General features: G+C 34.1%; 1 pseudogene across 4 annotated transcripts in view; it reads left to right on the top strand.

The window, feature by feature from the left end:
- The window catches only part of ADAM3A (ADAM metallopeptidase domain 3A (pseudogene)), a 71,945-nt pseudogene that overhangs the window by 51,115 nt on the left and 8,141 nt on the right, over positions 1–12,689 (top strand). For all 4 annotated transcript variants that reach the window (NR_001569.3, NR_024106.2, NR_024107.2 and 1 more), the window contains 2 exons: positions 4,175–4,252; positions 5,916–6,030. The product of NR_001569.3 is annotated as an ADAM metallopeptidase domain 3A (pseudogene), transcript variant 2 (transcript). The remainder of the gene's footprint in view (positions 1–4,174; positions 4,253–5,915; positions 6,031–12,689) is intronic.

The following is a 12,689-nucleotide window of genomic DNA, read 5'->3' as shown; positions in this document are numbered from 1 at the left end:
TCTTGAGGGACGAAGCCCCTTAGCTTGTGAGATTTAATGTGTCTTAGTCAGTTGTTGTGTTGCTATGAAGGAATACTAACGCTAGGTGACTTATAAAGGAAATAGGTTTATTTGGCTCACAGTTCTGCAGACTGAACAAGAAGCATAGTGCCAGGATCTGCTTCTGGTGAGGGCTTCACGCTGCTTCCTCTTGGTGGAAAGAGAAGAGGAACTGGTATGTGCAGAGATCACACGGTGAGAGAAGAAGCAAGAGACAGAGGAGGAAAGTTCTAGACTCCTTGAAAAAAACAAACAAACAAAAAAACCAGCTCTCATGAGAACTAACAGAGTGAGAAGAGAGGTCCGTCATTACTAAACAGAGATTAAACAAACAAAACAAACCCAATGGATCAACAGGACAAAAGGTTTGTTCCTCAAAAAGATAAAATTGATACACTACTGAACCACGGTATTTCCCCAACTCTTTCGTTGGACTCACGACAGGGATGCCCTGTTTACTTAGCTTGTTGCGCTCAACTCCTCGCGGGAGGGAGCACAGGAGCAAACGGGGCGGGAACTGGAGTATACGAGCACAGAAACCAGCCAGCCACTGCGGTGCTGGCAGGAGTGAGCTTCACTCGCTGGGACCTGCTGCATTCCACCCCTCGCAGGAGGGAGCGTGCAGGTGAGCGGGTAAAGGAGCCGGAGCAAGTGCTTTTGGGTGCTGGCAGAAACAAACTCCCTGCGGGCCCCACAGCAGCATCTAAGGGGGGTGCCTGCGACCCCTGAAGCTCCAGAGGACATGTTTCAGTGCTCTTTTAGCTCTGCAGTCTGCAGATGGCTTAAGTGTTAACAGCTCAGTGGGCCCGCAGCTGTCCTCTGCCAGCGAGGGCAAAGGGCCAGTGTGGCAGCCTTTTGTATCCACACTCGTGGCTCCTGAGCTCTTGTCTGGCATCCAGAAAAGAATGAGGTCGCTCAAACGAATTGAAGGATGGTAAATGCGAGAGATTTTATTGCCAGGGAAAGTGGCTCTCAGTGGAAAGGGGAGCTGGAAAGGGGACGAGCAGATAATCTTCCCCTCAAGTCCGGCCATCTCCAGCTGGACTCTCCTCCAAGTTACACTGTCAAGCTGTCCCTCTGAAGTCAAGCCACTTCTCTCCAATGTCCGGCTGTAGTCCCCAGTATCCAGCTGCTTCTCCTCTCTGCCGGCTGAGTCTGGGGGTCTTCATAGGCAAAGGTTGAGGGGGTGGGGTGGGCCATGGATGTTTAGGGAAAGGCAGCATTCGAGCGGGAAAACAGGGTTATGAGTTCTCACTTTGGGCTGCGGTCTCAGGCTTTTCGGCTTGATGGTGGGGCTTTGCCAGGGACCCACCCTCTTCTGCCTAGGATTTCTCTGGCCCCTGTCACTATCACTACCAGCTAGACTAAACAAGAAGAAAAGATAGAAGATCTAAACAAACAAAATGAGAAATAAAAAAGCAGGCATTATAACTCACCACAGAAATACAAAAGATTATTAGAGACTATTATGAACAACTTTATGCTCACAAGCTAGAAAACCTAGAGGAAATAGATAAATTCCTGAAAACATAAAACCTACCAAGATTGAACCAGGAAGAAATACAACTCCCAAGGAGACCAATAATGACTAGTGAGATTGAATCAGTAGTAAAAATTATCCCAACAACAACAAAAAAGGCTAGGACCATGTGGATTCACTGCCCAATTCTACCTCCGGAATAGAATAACTAATAATTAGACTAACTAATAAATAGAATAACTAATAATTAGAATAATACCAATCTTTTTGAAACAATTGTTAAAAATCAAGGAGGAGGAAATTCTCTCTAACTCATTCTACAAGGCGAGTATCATCTGATACCAAAGCCAAACAACGGCATAAAAAAAAGTAAAGACCAATATCTCTGGAAGACACAGACGCAAAAGTCCTCAAGAAAATCCTAGCAAATCAAATCCAACAGCACATCAAAAACATAATACATCGTGATTATGTGGGATTCATCCCAGGGATCCAAAGATGGTTCAACACATGCAAATCAAAAATTTGATCCATCACATCAACAGAATGAAAGATAAAAACCATATGATAATCTCAACTGATGCAGAGAAATCATTGGATAAATTTCAGCATCTCTTCGGATAAAAATTCGCAATAAACTCAGCATACAAGGAACATTCTTCAACATCATAAAGGCAATCTACAACAACCATACAGCCAACATACAGCCAACATTATACTTAACAAGGAAAAATTGAAAGCATTTCCTGTAAGAACTAAAGCAAGGCAAGGATGCCCACTTTTACCACTCTTACTTAGCATAGTACTGGAAGTCCTCACCATAACAATAAGGCAAGAGAAAATAATAAAGTCATCCAGACTGGAAAAGAGGAAGTCAAATTATTCCTGATGATTGAGTTTTTGTCTAGAAAACCCTAATGACTCCACCAAAAAAACTCTTAGATTTGATAAATAAGTTTAATAAAGTTTCATGATACAAAATTAATAGACAGATACTAGTAGTGTTTCTATATACCAATAATGATCTAGCCAAGGACAAAATCAAGAAGACAGTCTCATTTACAATAGCTACCAAAAAATAAAATTAAATAGCTAGGAATATATTTAACCAAGGAGGAGAAGGATCTCTACAAGAACTACAAAACACTGAATTAAATAAATAAAATAAATTATAGATGATGCAAACAAATGGGAAAACATCCTGTGCTCATGGATTGGGAGAATCAATATCATCAAAATGACCATACTTCTCAAAACAATCTACAGATTCAATGCAATCCTTATCAAAATACCAATGTCATTTTTCACAGAAATAAGAAAATGTGAAATTTATATGACACGAAAACAGCTTGATTAGTCAAAGTAATCCTAACCAAAAAGAACAATGCTGGAAGCATCACATTACTTAGCTTTAAGTTACACTACAATCCAATGGTAACCAAAACAGCAAGATATAATTATAAAAATAGACACATAGATCAATGGAACAGAAAAGAGATCCCAGAAATCCACATATTTACATCAAACTGATCTTCAATAAAGCCAGCAAGAACATACATTGGAGAAAGGACCATCTTCGAAAAGGTGCTGGGAAAACTGGGTAGCATATGCAGAAGAATGACACTGGACCCATACCTCTCAGTATATACAAAAACTAACTCAAGGTGGATTAAAGACCTAAATATAAGATATGAAACTATAACCCTAGAAGAAAACCTACAAAAAACTCTTTTGGACATTGGCCCAGGCAAAGAATACGTGACCAAGTCCTCAAAAGCAAACACTATGAAAACAAAAGTAGATAAATGGGACTTAATTAAACTAAAAAGCTTCTGCACAGCAAAGGAAACAACAGAGTAAACAGATAATCTACAGAATGGGAAAAATATTTGCAAATTATAAATCCAACAAAGGACTAATATCCGAATCTGCAAGGAACTCAAACAACACAACAGCGACAAAAATAACCAAGTAACCCCACTAACAAGTGAGCAAAGGACATGAACAGACACTTCTCAAAATAAGACATACAAGCGGCCAAAAAACATAGGAAAAATGCCCAACATCACCAACTATCAGAGTAAAACCTTAACGAGATACCGTCTTACACAAGTCAGAATGTCTATTATTAAAAAGTCAAAAAACAATAGATGTCAAGAATGTGGAGAAAAAGGAAAGTTTATACACTGATGTTGGGAATGTAAATTAGTACAACCTCTTTGAGAAACAGTATGGAGATTTCTCAAAGTACTACCCACCATTTGACACAGCCACCCTACTACTCAAATACAAAATGAGCCCAAAAATATCTCCTTCTAAGGGTCTATATGAGTAAATAAAAGAAAGGTGCATAAAAAGTGTTAAAAGAGGTCCTATAAATTAAAAATTGCTAGTACAAGCTGGCTACTTTTTTCTTGTACCAGTGTGTAATAAAAATGTATATTTCTGCTTTCTGAAAATATCTCATTTGTAATATTTCTTATTAATAACATACCATTTAGAATTGTTCCTATGGGTTTTTATTAAAATGCTATGAAATTCAGATTCATCTGTTCTGTATATCTCCTGTGCATATAATATTTGTATGAATATGATTCCTTATCTCTTGACTTTACATTTAGTATTTTTGTTGCTGTTTGCTTCATAACATTTTAGGTATGTCACTCCCGAGAATGCAGAAATTTTAGTGAACTAAATATAACAAAATATACTACAAATTGTGGACAGAATGGGGTATGTAACAGTTACTATTTTTCTCAGTATAATTATTTTAATCTATGTCAATAACATGTTCTATGATAATAATAAAGTTCACAAGTAGTAGATGTGAAAATTTCTTTTTGAAAATTGTCATTAAATAAGGAAAGTAGATCCACTATTTATACATACATATTATTTATGCATATAATCAGATTGTTATGGGCTTCATGAGCAAATAAGTTTTACACTTTGTAAAAAATGCACCATGAAACAGAATCCATTATTATGATATTAGATTAAGATTATTAAATTTTAGAAATGGATTTATTAAGGACTCTACTTATGCTTTTATGCATATACATACATATTGTTTATAATTGAGCGTATGTGTACTTATACAATATGAACATTCACACACTGTTATGTACATTGATTTATGAGATCAGAGTTTTCAATCCATTAAGATCTGTTTCATTCCTCAACAGCTTCAACTTATTTCACTATATGGATCATCCATACTATATTCAAAATGCCATTCACTGATGGCCTTTCAATTAATGTTAAATTTTAGCTTATTACAAATAGTGGTACAACAGATATGATTGTAAATTTACCTTTGCACATTGATATGCTTCCTTAAATTATTAGCAAATAAAATTTGGGCTGAATATATGCACAATTTGAATTTTCCTAAGTATTATGCTGTCGTCAAGAAACATTATACCAGTTTTTTCTCCCACCTATCATGTGTGAAAATGTGCATTTCCTCATATTCTGGCCAGATTAGTTGTATTAATCTTTTTAGTCTCTTTTAACATGCTAAGTCCATTATTAATTTGCATTTATTTGCTAATTAATAATACAGTTCCTAAGTATATATGGTCATATCTGCCACTTGCATTTCTGTTTGCTCATCTATTGTAAACTTATCTACTGGCTTATAGAAATGTTGTAAACTTTATAAGTCATTCTAAGCATGCATTTGTCTCTTTGTGGTCAGTGTCTTCTGCCATATTGATGATTCATATTTTTTATAGTAATTCAGGAAAAAGTGGCCTGCCTGTGTGGCTTACATCAATTTTTCCTCAAAATTACTTACACATCTATTATTTACAGTTTCTTTTCTTTCTTAATTTTAATTTACTTTCGTAATCAATTTTGTATGCATTTATTTCTGAATTCTCTACTGGCCCTTTTTCCATTCGTCTGCCAGATCACATTTATACATTTTTTCTAGCTTTCTATATAAATTTTTTGTGTCTGTATCTGATTGAGCAAGCATCTTAAAATTTTGGCTTTCCCCCCCTATTTTTTTAAATAAAATTTGGCCCTCATCACAACTATTTTTTTAAATCCAACACAATTTATAATAAATTTTTACTCCCACCATTCTATAGTTTCTAGCATCATAATCTGTACGCCCTTCTAATAAAAAGCATTTAAATTGTATCAAGAATGGTATTCACTTTATTTAGAAATGTAAGAGACAAACAAGAAGATACCTCTATGATGTTTGAAAATATATTGCATGGACATTTATTATACTGCCTTTTATTTTTAAAATTATTTTTCATATTAAATTTAAAATTTATATTAAATGGTAATATTTTTAAAATTTACATTGACTAACAATCACATATAAGGCAGTGAATTTTTGGTTGTACATAAATGCTTTTTTTGTTTGTTTTGGTTTTAGATTTGCAATGAACATTTCCATTGTCAATGTGATCCTGGTTATGCTCCTCCAGATTGTGAGCCAGCAATGTCATCACCAGGAGGAAGTATCAATGATGGATTTTGGCTTACAGTAGGTTAGTCTCTAGATCTGTGTTTCAATGCAGCTTTCTGTTCTCATAGAAATGGTCTACATCTTTGCCATCCTGTATAACTATCAAACACCCAACATGTGGATAGTGAAACTAAGGAACTGAAATTTCAACTGTATTTTACCTTATTTAATTTAAATTTAAATGACTACTGTGACTAGTGGCTACTAAATTGGATCTAGAGCCAGACAGCTCTGAATCTTTCTGCCAACCAAAATTTTCTGTATAGTTTTAGTTCTCACCTAGAAAACATTTTAAAAGGCCTCCCCTTCACTTTAAGCAGGGTTCCCAGAATATTTCTATTTATACAGCAGAGTTTTCTATGTAAGTATACTTAAATTATAGAAAACGTTGCAGTTTTATTATATAGTCTGTGAATTCCAAGGATGTCACCTATTGTGATATCCCAATTCACAATCAAATTCAATCTTTAAAGGTAACTGTAATATTGAAAGAGAAAAATCATTAAATTTTTCATGCCTACAGCATATGAGTAGTCTGTGGCACTGAACATTTTTAAATTGATTTGATGAAAAGTCCTGAATAAATATATTTGTTTTTACTAAACCTTTATTTTACTATTAGAATTGTATACCTGAATAAATGCTTGAGGAATGGATTCATATGTCAAATATGCTGAAGTGGCATATAACTAGATGTATGAATATCTTAATATGGCAACTTAGAGCAAAGGAGTTAAAGACACTGAAGATCAAGAAAAAATATATGCCAAGAGGTTGTTAGAATGAGTTTCCTTCTTCCCACAACTTAGAATTTGGGGTACTTTATTAGTAGATGATACTGAAGAAAGTAGTTTCAGTTAATTTAGGATGAAAAAAGTAGTTGAAATAAATATATACATAAGTAAATTAAAAGAAGAATAAATCAACCTACACTCATCCTTCACCAATGTTAAAATGTTGCAAATCTGTCCTACAATGTCAAAACTGGGAAATGGACATTGGTAAAATACAGAGACCTTAATCAGATTTCTCTAGTATATTTACACTCATTTGTGTGTCTGTGTGTTTGTGTGTGTGTTTGTTCTATGCAATTTTATCACAGTTTAGATTTATGTACTACTATCACAATGACAATGCATAGCTGTATCATCACTACATGGTTGTCTAACATTACCCCTTTGTAGATAGATATTTTTCTTTTCCCTCATCTCTAACTCTCCTTCCAACCATTAAATGGTTCTCTGTCTCTCTAATTACATGGTTTTATGAATGTTATATAAACAAAATCATATGGTTTTTATATTTGTGCAACTGGATTTTTTTCTTTAGCATAATTTCCCTGAACTGGATCCAAGTTCTTGCATGTACCAATACTTAATTCCTTTTTATTGATGACTAGTTTTCATTTGTATGGATATGCCATAATTTTTTAGCCTTTGATCCACTGAAGGACATTTGGGTGGTTTCCAGTTTTAGTTATTATGAATAACTGAGATGAACATTCATGTGGAAGATTCTATGTGAAAATAATATTTTAATTGTCTGGGATATATGCACAAGACTGAAATAGCTGAGACATATTGTAAACTACTTATAATTTTAAAAGCAACTGCTAAATATTTTTTCAGAATGGCTGTACTGTTTGACAGTCCCACCAACAATATATGAATTACCACGTTTTTGCACCCTCACCAACATCTGATTGTACCACTGTTTTTTCTTGAATTTTAATCATTCCATTAGCTGTTTATTAATATCTCATTTGCACCTCCTCACGGATAATGATTTTGAACATCCTTAATATGCTTATTCGGTTGTATATTCTATTTAGTGAAAAGTCTGTTCATACATTTTACCATTTACTCATTGGATTGTTTGTGTTTTTTAAATGTTCAGTTTTGAGAGATATTATGTTTTTTAATTTTTATTTTTCATTATTATGGGTACATAATAGTTGTATATGTTCATGGGGTACATGTGCTGTTTTGTTAGACATGCAATGTGTAATGATCAGATCATGGTAATTGGGGTATCCATCATCTCAAGCCTTTATTATTTATTTGTATTAGAAACATTCTAATCACACTCTTTCCGTTATTTTAAAATACACAATAAATCAATGTTAACTATAGTCTCTCTATTGTGCTACTGAACACCAGACCTTATTACTTCTGACTGTATTTTTGTAACCTTAACCATTCCCTTTTTATCCCCCCATCCCCACTACCCTTCCCAGGCTCTGGCAACCATGATTCCACTCTCTATGAGTTCAATTTTTTTGTTGTTTTTAGCTCCCACATATGAATTAAAACAGACAGGCACCATCTGTCTTTCTGTGCCTGGCTTATTTCACTTAACATAATAGCCTCCATTCCATTCATGTTGTTGCAAATGACAGGATTTTATCCTTTTTATGGCTGAATAGCAGTCGGTTGTGTATATGTACCACATTTTTTTATCCATTCATCCACTGATGGACACTTAGGTTGATTCCAAATCTTGGCTACTGTGAATAATGCTGCTTTAAATAAACACAGGAGAGCAGATATCTCTTCGATACACTGATTTCCTTTCTTTTAGATATATACTCAGCAGTGGGATTGCTGGATCTTGTGGTAATTCTATTTTAGTTTTTTTGAGGAATCTCCATACTGTTCTCTATAGTGGCTGTACTAATTTACATTCCCACCAACAGTGTGTACCAAGTGCTCCCCTTTCTCGACATTCTCACATTATTGCCTATCTTTTGGATAAAAGCCATTTTAACAGGGATAAGATAATATTTCATTGTAGTTTTTAGTTGCATTTCTCTGATGATCAGTGATGTTGAGTCCCTTTTCATATAGCTGTTTGCCGTTCGTATGTCTTCTTTTGAGAAATGTCTAAAAGATCTTTTGCCCATTTTAAAATTAATTTTTTATTGAGTTGTTTGAGCTCCTTACATATTCTGGTTATTAATCCCTTGTCAGATGGGTAGTTTGCAAATATTTTCTTTGGTTCTGTAGGTTGTCCCTTCACTTGGTTGATTGTTTCCTTTTCTATGTAGAAGCTTCTTAGCTTGATGTGATCCTATTTGTCAATTTTTGCTGTGATTGCCTGAGCTTCTGAGGTCTTACTCAAGAAATCTGTGCCCAAATCAATGTCCTGGAGAGGTTACCCAGTGTTTTGTTCTAGTTGTTTTACAGTTTAGGGTCTTAGATTTAAGTCTTTAATCCATTTTTATTTGATTTTTGTATATGGCAAGAGATAGGGATCTAGCATCATTCTTCTGCATATGGCTATCTACTTTTCCCAGCACTATTTATTGAAGGGACTGTTCTTTCCCCAGTGTATGTTCTTGACACCTTTATTGAAAATAAATTGACTTTAATTACGTGGATTCATTTGTGGGTTCTTTATTCTGTTCAATTTTTCTGTGTATCCGTTTTATTCCAGCATCATGCTATTTTGGTTACTATAGCTTTGTGTAGTATAAGGTCAGGTAACATGATTCCTCCAGTTTTGTTCTTTTTGCTCAGGATTACTTTGACTATTCTGGGTCTTTCGTCATTCCATATGCGTTTTAGGATTATTTTTTCTATTTCTGTGAACAATTGCATTGAAGCTGTAAATTGCTTTGTGTGGTACAGGTATTTTAACATTATAGAACTGATAAATTCAGTAAAGATGCAGAATACAAAATGCCAACAGTGAACAATCTGAAAAACAAATGAAGAAAGCAATTCCATTTACAATAGCTACAAATAAGATGAACTACCTAGGAATAAACTAAAAGAAGTGAAAGATCTCTACAATAAAAATTATTAAACACTGATGAAAGAAATTGAAAAGGGAAAAAGAAAAAAATGCCATGTTTATGAAAGATGTTATGTTTTACAAATACATGTATTTTGTTGGATGTGTGATTTGTACACATTTTCTCCAAGTCTATAATTTGTTTTTTCTCAGAATAAAATTTCTCTTTATATGACTTTTACTTGATAAGGTGCACTTTTTTAGGTACTGGATTGTGCTTCTGGTGTCAAGTATATGACCTCTTTATGAGTATTAGAACCTGAAGATTTAAAAAGTATAGCATTATGGTTTCCATTTAAGCCCATAATACACTTTAAAGTAATTTTATATAGGATGAGAGATATATATCAAAGTTAAATTTTTGATAAATGGGTGTTCAATTACTCTAGCATATTTTTTAAAATTTTTTATTTCCATAGCTTTTTGGGGAAACGTGGTATTTGGTTACGTGAGTAAGTTTTTCAGTGGTGATTTGTAAGATTTTGGTGCACCCATCACCTGAGCAGTATACACTGAACCCAATTTGTAGTCTTTTATTCCTCACCCCCTTCCCATCCTTTTCCCCTGAGTCCCCAAAGTCCATTGCATTTTTCTTATGCCTTTGCATCCTCGTAGTTTAGCTCCCATTTATGAGTGAGAACAGACGATGTTTGGTTTTCCATCCTTGAGTTACTTCACTTAGAATAATAGTCTCCAATCCCATCCAGGTTGCTGCAAATGCCATTAATTCATTCCTTTTAATGGCTGAGCAGTGTTTCATCATAAATATATATGTCATCACACAGTTTCTTTATCTCACAGTTTCTTTATCTCACAGTTTCTTTATCCACTCATTGATTGATGGGCATTGGGATTTGTTCCACATTTTTGCAATTCCAAGTTGTGCCGTTATAAACATGTGTGTGCAAGTATCTTTTTCATATAATGAGTTCTTTTTAATGTACACAGATCAGTAGCTCTCCTTTACACCAACAGCAACCAAGATGAGAATAAAATCAAGAACTCAAGTCCTTTACAAACCTGCAAAAAATAAAATAAAATACTTAGGAATATACCTAACCAAGGAGTTCAAGGAAAACTACAAAACACTGCTGAAAGAGATCATAGAGGACACAAACAAATGGAAATACATCCCATGCTCATGGATGGGTAGAATCAATATTGTCAAAATGACCATACTGCCAAAAGCAATCTACAAATTCAACGCAATTTCCCTCAAAATACCACCATCATTCTTCACCGAAAATAATCCTAAAGTTCATATGGAACCAAAAGAGAGCCTGCATAGCCAAAGCAAGACTAAGCAAAAAGAACAAATCTGGAGGCATCACATTACCTGATTTCAAGCTATACTATAAGGCCATAGTCACTGAAATAACATGGTACTAGTATAAAAATAGACACATAGACCAGTGAAACAGAATAGAGAACCCAGAAATAAACCCAAATACCTACAGCCAACTGGTCTTCGACAAAGCAAACAAAAACATAAAGTGGGGAGAGGACACCCTGCTCAACAAATGGTGCTGGGATAATTGGCAAGCCACATGGTAGGAGAATAAAACTGGGTCCTCATCTCTCACCTTATACAAAAATCAACTCAAAATGGATCAAGGCCTTAAATCCAAGACCTGAAACTACAAAAATTCTAGCACAATTTTTTAGAAAAGGTATCTCTCATCTATTGAATTGTTTTTGCAACTTTGTCAAAAATTAATTAAACATATTTTTGTTGGTATTTTACTAGGTCTCTGTTCGGTTCCATTGATTTGTCTTATTCCATACACAAGTACCACATTCTTTAACATTGGGGGAAAAAAAGGAATTCCTGTCACTTAATTCTTTTTTTTTTTCAAAATTGCTACAACTATTCTCAGAGCTCTTCTTTCTCTATATGCATACATACTAGCATGAGTTCATCTATCTTTATTTAAAAATCTTGCTGTGATTTTTACAAATCAATTTAGGAAGAATTTGCATCTTCATTATTATTGGGTCTTTCAGTCTATGAACACAGCATATCTCTCCATTTGAAAGAAATCAAAGAAATCTGCTTTGATTCTTCAATAGTCTGATGAAAGAAATCAAAGAAATCTACTTTGATTTCTTTCATCAGGCTATTGTAATTTTTACCATATCCTATGCATTTATTATTTCATTTTTATTTCATTATCTTTAGAGCAATTTTAGGTGATGTTGGGTGTTTTTTATGTTTTTATTTCCCCTTGTTCCTTGTTAATATGCAAATATACCATTGATTTTTGCACATCAATCCTGTATTTCCCAATATAATTGAATTCGGTTTTCTGAGAATTTTTTTTTGTTTTTGCAAGTTCTTTGGGATTTCTACGTAAGTGATTATGCCCTCTTCAAATAGCTTTGAAGATAACAGCTTTCTTTCTTCCTTTCCAATATGTATAACTTTTATTATTTTATTGCACTTCCTAGACTTTCCAGGCCTATGCTGAATAAGAGTTGTAAACAACTCTCCTTAATAATTATTTTAGCAGAAAAGAATTTAGTATTTCACCATTAAGTATGATGGTAGCTGTAGGGCTCTTGTAGATAGTATTTATTAGTTTGAGGAACTTCCTTTAATATGTATTCATTGAGATGTTTTGTTATTAACAGTATTAATTTTTCAAATGCTTTTTAGTATCGGTTGATAGGAATGTATGAACCTTGTAGTCCACTGATATGATCAATTACATTGATTTTTAATTTTGAACCAATTTTGAAAGTATAGAATAAATTCTTCATCATTATTTATTAATTTTTGTACTTTACTAAATTTGATTTGTTAATATTCTGTTGAGGATTTTTGTGTCTAGGTTGGTGAGAGATATTGCCTGCCTCTCTCTCTGTCTCTGTCTCTGTCTCTCTCTC

This window comes from Homo sapiens, chromosome 8 (assembly GCF_000001405.40).
Source record: "Homo sapiens chromosome 8, GRCh38.p14 Primary Assembly".
NCBI lineage: Eukaryota > Metazoa > Chordata > Mammalia > Primates > Hominidae > Homo > Homo sapiens.
This window is presented reverse-complemented; position numbering and strand designations above follow the sequence as displayed.